The sequence below is a fragment of the Homo sapiens genome, chromosome 7 (assembly GCF_000001405.40).
Source record: "Homo sapiens chromosome 7, GRCh38.p14 Primary Assembly".
In the NCBI taxonomy this organism is placed as follows: domain Eukaryota; kingdom Metazoa; phylum Chordata; class Mammalia; order Primates; family Hominidae; genus Homo; species Homo sapiens.
In genome coordinates, this window is record NC_000007.14 from 105882834 (window position 1) to 105888833 (window position 6000).

General features: G+C 41.5%; 2 annotated features.

Annotated features, from left to right (window-relative positions):
• Positions 1919–2102: a silencer, noted in NCBI's record as "fragment chr7:105525198-105525381 (GRCh37/hg19 assembly coordinates)". NCBI's record gives its function as "represses an EF-1alpha promoter that drives an FKBP-Casp9 reporter gene in an ReSE screen in K562 erythroleukemia cells {active_cell/tissue: K562}" and the evidence as "EXISTENCE:reporter gene assay evidence [ECO:0000049][PMID:32094911]".
• Positions 5527–5723: a silencer, noted in NCBI's record as "fragment chr7:105528806-105529002 (GRCh37/hg19 assembly coordinates)". NCBI's record gives its function as "represses an EF-1alpha promoter that drives an FKBP-Casp9 reporter gene in an ReSE screen in both phorbol 12-myristate 13-acetate-treated (for megakaryocytic differentiation) and untreated K562 erythroleukemia cells {active_cell/tissue: K562 | K562(+PMA)}" and the evidence as "EXISTENCE:reporter gene assay evidence [ECO:0000049][PMID:32094911]".

Below are 6000 nucleotides of genomic sequence, written 5' to 3' on the forward strand. Positions count from 1 at the left end.
TGGGCATGTCTTTATCAGCAGTGTGAAAACAAACTAATACATCATGAATAAACATGTTCTCCTCATGAGATAGTAAAACAATAGAGATAAGGGAGAAATATCCCCTTCAAATGTGGTCACTCCTGTACCCCCAGGTCTAAAGGCATTTTTCATACCATTTTCTACACATTTACCTACGGTATATGTCTGTCATTATGGGTGTAGATGATATTGCTGTGTGCGTTGTCTTTTTTTTTTTTCTTTTTAATGTGAATAGTATCACTTCACGGACATTTTTCTGTAATTTTCTTCTTTCACACGTGCTGTTAAATGTTATTATGTGTGGAAATACCTCATTCTTTTAAACTGCTTCATGGTATTCCATAAAATGTTCCAGGGTCTATTTATCTGTTATTTTTATTCTTATTTATTTATTTATTTATTTTTCGAGACAGAGTCTTGCTCTGTTGCCCAGGCTGGAGTGCAGTGGCGCAGTCTCGGCTCACTGCAACCTCCACCTCCCGAGTTCAAGTGATTCTCCTGCTTCAGCCTCCCAAGTAGTTGGGATTACAGGCATCTGCCACCATGCCCGGCTAATTTTTGTATTTTTACCAGAAGTGGGGTTTCACTATGTTGGCCAGGCTGGCCTTGAACTCCTGACCTCAAATGATCCACCCACCTTGGCCTCCCAAATATTTATCTGTTAAGTTGATAGACATTTAGGTTTCTAGTTTTTATGAAAAATAGGTAGTCAACGTCTTTATTTTTATGTATGTTTCCTGGGCACGTGAGGAAGTATTACTACCCAGAAATAGAATTGCTGGGTATGTGCATTTTTAATTTTAATAGTTCTGCCAGATTGTCTTCTGAAGTAGCTGAGTAATTTATACTTCCACTAGCAGTACAGAGATGTGCCCATTTCCTTAATTAATGCTCCACATTTTCAAACCTTTTAAATTTTGCAAATGTTATGAGTAAAAAAAATTTGATTTGTATTTCCCTCATTTGTGGTGTGTTTTTGAGCATTTTCCTCTCATGTTCATTGTATTTGTACTCTGTAAATTGCTGTTAGTATCCTTTGATGATTTGTCATTGGTATTATTTAGAGCTGCTTATTGATTTGTAGGAATTCTCTATGTATTCTCGATTTGGATCTTTTCTCTATTTGGAAACAATGTAATTTTCCACCTTGTTGCTTTTCTTCTTTTGACCTTGTTTATGGCATCTTTTCCACACACGCTTTTTCTCCCCTTTGGAAATAGTCGACATTTCAGGCTTTTCCTTGAGGCCTTTTGTTTTCTGTGTCTTGCTTAAGAAGACCTTCACTTCCTCAAGGTCATAAAATAGTTTCTTATATTTTCTCTTTATGCTTTATAGGTGTTTGGTTTTTTATTCAGATCTTGGATCTTTTGGTTAATGATGTGAGGTAAAAAGTTAATTTTCAATCTTTTTCCAAACAGTTACCATTTATCCTGAGAACCATATATTGAATAGTTTATCCTTTCTGTAGAGATCTTTCTTATGCTTATTTTCCAAACACCTGGGTCTGTTTCTGAGCTCTTTTTCTGTTCATTGTTTGAACTGTTTCTTTTCCTGCACCAATTAATTACTCTTCTTTAAATAATATGCTTTGTGGTCTACAAAAAATCTTTTTCATTATAGATTTAGTAAATTCTATCTCTAAAAAATTATTATTATTATTATTATTTTTATTTTTTTTTTTTTGAGACGGAGTCTCACTCTGTCGCCCAGGCCGGACTGCGGACTGCAGTGGCGCAATCTCAGCTCACTGCAAGCTCCGCTTCCCGGGTTCACGCCATTCTCCTGCCTCAGCCTCCCGAGTAGCTGGGACTACAGGCGCCCGCCACCGCGCCCGGCTAATTTTTTGTATTTTTAGTAGAGACGGGGTTTCACCTTGTTAGCCAGGATGGTCTCGATCTCCTGACCTCATGATCCACCCGCCTCGGCCTCCCAAAGTGCTGGGATTACAGGCGTGAGCCACCGCGCCCGGCCAAAAAATTATTTTTTTTAATTCCTGGGAAGTGTGTTATACATGACATTGTTCAACATTTGCCATGTCTAGAAGATCATAGGAAACAGAGCCTCACCTCATGCCCACAGGATGCTGTAAAGATGGGCCCAGCGACTACAGCCACCTCGGCTCTTGGTGAAGCTTCCCCTGAGATGATTTTCCAAGACAAATATCTCAGACTTGGGGAACTGAATTATTGAGAGATATTGTCTTCTAAGTTTCTAAAAAGGCCAACCTCTGTGGGTGGTGGTTGGGAATTTTCTTGAATGATGTGGACGCTCCCAGCTGTCCGTCAGGCCAGAAGGGAGAAAGTAGAGCCATGGAAAGTGAAGGCTGGAGGAGAGGGAGACAGCAGACCTGAGACAGGGCATGGAACCCCTGGGCTTCCCAGAGGGGAAGGGACTGAAGGTCTCCCTGGGTGGTGGGAGAGAAGCAGGTGGACCCTGTGGGCTGGGAGCTGGGCCAGGCAGCGTCTGGAAAGAGGACCTGTCTGGAATGACCAAGGTGTGACTCTGGAATCCTTCAAATCCAGTACCCAGTTGTAAGGTTTTCTGTGTTGTCATTTCTTTTATTTTACCCAAGTTTTTATTAAATGACCTAGCCTTCGATAGCTGTGCTATGGGAAACTAAATTATGAGTTGATACTGCTGTAGGAGCCACAACAGGAAGGCTGCAAGTATCCAGCTTCATGCCAGCCCTGTGTGGTAACAGCACCATTATTCAAGAGAAGATGGCAATGCTGGGAACCTGGCAGGCAGCCAAGTACCAAGTGAGCAGAGGGGGATGCCTGAGCTGTGATGTTGTCCTTAACACTTTCCCCCAGCCCTACCTTTTAATACCCTGCAAAGGAGGAAATCCTGGAAGTGAGAGACCAGAGTCTGGGTTTTATTTATATGACAGGAAGTAGAAGCTAGAAACTTTAAGGTCACAGAACACCCATAGTAGAACTTAAAGTCCAGGTCTCCTTTGGTGGGAGGCCAGCTTGCTGTTTCCCAAGAATGATGCTACGGCCATAAATTTGAATTTCTGTGTAGGCCAGTGTTTCTCTACTGTGGGCAGTTTTGCCACCCCCTCGTCCCAGAGGACATTTGGCAATGTCTGGAGACATTTTTGGTTGTCATGACTGGGGGGTGAAGGTGCTACTGATATCTAGTGGGTAGAAGCCAAGGATGCTGTTAAACTTCCTACACTGGAATGCACAGGACGGCCCCTACCTCAAAGGTTGATCACGTCCAAAATGATAGTGATGAGATCGAGAGAAACCCTGATGTAGGCCAGTTAATTTTAGGTTTTCTTTTTTTTTTTCTTTTTCATTCCTGGATAATAAATGCCTAACTCTCACCAACTACCTTGCCATCATGGGCTTCTTCGATCAGAAATCTAGTAAGAGAGTATGGTGGGGGCTGCGAGACCCATCATCACTACCAAAAAACATGAAGTCTTTTCACTTTCAATATGTGAAGACCTAAATTATGTAATTGGATGAATGATATTTGTAGAGTCAAAGAGAATGTGAGTTCTCCGTCTTATGGGTATAGTTATTATGTAATAATCAAGTAATGTGGTCTTTTATTGTCTTAATCTTTCACAAACCATTGCTTTCCTACTCCAATAGGAAGCCTGATCAGATACTAGATAGCTCTTATTATTGCCAATGTATGGATGATGAAACTGAGGCTCAGAGAGGAAGTAAAATAAAGCATGGCTCCCCCCTACTGGTTTACTATATTCCAAAGTTATTAAACACCTGGCCAGCACTGCTGTGTAGGTTGTACACTGCACAATTGTGTCCCTTCTAAGGAGTCAGTGTTCAAATCACAGACATCAGAGATTTATTATGATAATTTTTCTGGCAGATGGCAGTAAAGTAGCTTATTCTAACAAAATTGGGAATATAAAGACTATTTTCTAACAGATGGAAGTAGTTTTTTGAAGCAGGTGAGCCTTTTCCTGATGCTCACTCAGGTGCTAGATGGACTAGCAGAAAGAATGGCGTCATTGATGTCCCTTTGTATGTGTTACCAGTTCATCTGGGAATTTTACTTTTTGCTGGAAAAGGAGTCACCCTCCCTTGCCAACCACATGTGTGGTTATACATTGGTATTGCAGAGTGATGCCATTTACAAGTAATACATTTGAGTTGGCAGATTTCCCAAGGTTTCTTTTGTATATGAGAAACATAGTGCCTTGGGTCATGGAATAAATATAAGAGCCTCGGTATCTAATTTTGGTTGTTCACACTTCAGTTAGGGCTTAAGTCATCCTAAGCTAGGCTTGGAAGAAAGAGACATTGACATTTGTATTAGTTTAATAAATTTGGCAGCAGGGAGGTGCAAAGAATGTTATTTCAATTATAGATTGACCCATGATTGATTTAGCAACATGCGTTGCTTAGGTTGTAATCGATGCCAAGTAATGGCAGGTTCTGGACTCTTAGGAAGGTGGGCACAAATGTTGGGGAATTGATCAATGGATGAGCTCCATATTGGCCTTCTACAGGGAGAATAAAAATACAAGTAAAATATTGTAAGATGGGAGTGATAGCATTGCAGATGTTAACACAGCCTGTCCAAGCTTTTATCCTTTGTACCTACGCAGCCATTTTTTTTAACACATGGGACACTATTCTTCAACAGATTTGTTCTCTTCTAAGTTTGTTCTGAATCTGTAGTGTGTGTCATTTCACGGTGTTTTAAAGAGGAAAAGGCCTTGCTTCAGTTGAGAAGGCTTTGATTTTTCCACCTACACAAATACCCTGGCATTCAGGGAATCTGGCTAATTTAAAAAATTATCTCTTATAATGCCTAGTTACTACCCCAGTTCGTGTTGGAGGTGGAGTATACAAAGGAATTACAACCCCCACTTTATAATCGGGATAAGAGAGGTTGACAGACTTACCTTGCCTGGCCCAGTGCCAAGTGCCACGTGGTATAGACTAAGAATAGTTGCTTCTCACGAGGAGCTTATTTAGTTTGGGGGAGATTGTGTGCAATCAATAATTAGGAAACAGGATAGCCTGTGAGAAGATGCTGATCTGATGTGCAGGTAGGAAATGTCACAGGAGGCTGAGCAGCACGGATGGCTGTGGTGGGCAGCAAAGTCTCAGGAGAGAGGAGAAACTTGAGCCCCGCTGTGAAAGGCAGGGAGGATATAAATAGCTGGTGGGCAGAGTGACCCAAGGCTGAAGGATGTGAATAGTGGCCATCTTAAGTAAGAGCCTCAGGTCACAGAGATAACAGTTCCCTGTATAAAGACCTTAGTGGAAACCAGGTGAGTCTCAGGAAGTTTGGAATCAAGAAGACTTTAAAAGAGTTGCACAGTGTTTCCAAGATTAAAATCTGCAATGTGACATAGTATAGCTAATAATACAATGTGTTCTTAGTCACAGGGTATATTTCTTTTTTTTTTTCTTTCTTTTTTTTTTTTTTTGAGACGGAGTTTCACTCTTGTTGCCCAGGCTGGAGTGTAATGGCGCAATCTCGGCTCACTGCAACCTCTGCCTCCCGGGTTCAAGCGATTTTCCTGCCTCAGCCTCCCTGGTAGCTGGGATTACAGGCATGTGCCACCACGCCCAGCTAATTTTGTATTTTTAGTGGAGAGGGGGGTTTCTCTATGTTGGTCAGGCTGGTCTCGAACTCCCGACCTCAGGTGATCCGCCCCCCTCAGCCTTCCAAAGTGCTGGGATTACAGGCATGAGCCACCGCGCCTGGTCTTAAGTGGTATATTTCTTTGAGAAATACTTTTTATCAAGAGCAAATCTCTAAAATTAGAGCTCTGTCGATCCAAACAAGCTAATTAGGTGAGAAAAATGAACTTTTCAAAATCCTTTAACCATCTGGTTGGCATGTTTAAAAACTACAACCAATCATACTGATAAAAGGGTAGTCTCTACATTTGTGGCCTACCCTTGAAAGCTCCAACACTGGGTCGTTTTTGTAGACAGAGTATATAAAATTTTCATTCTAAGTAAGCTGACCAAACAGCTGAGT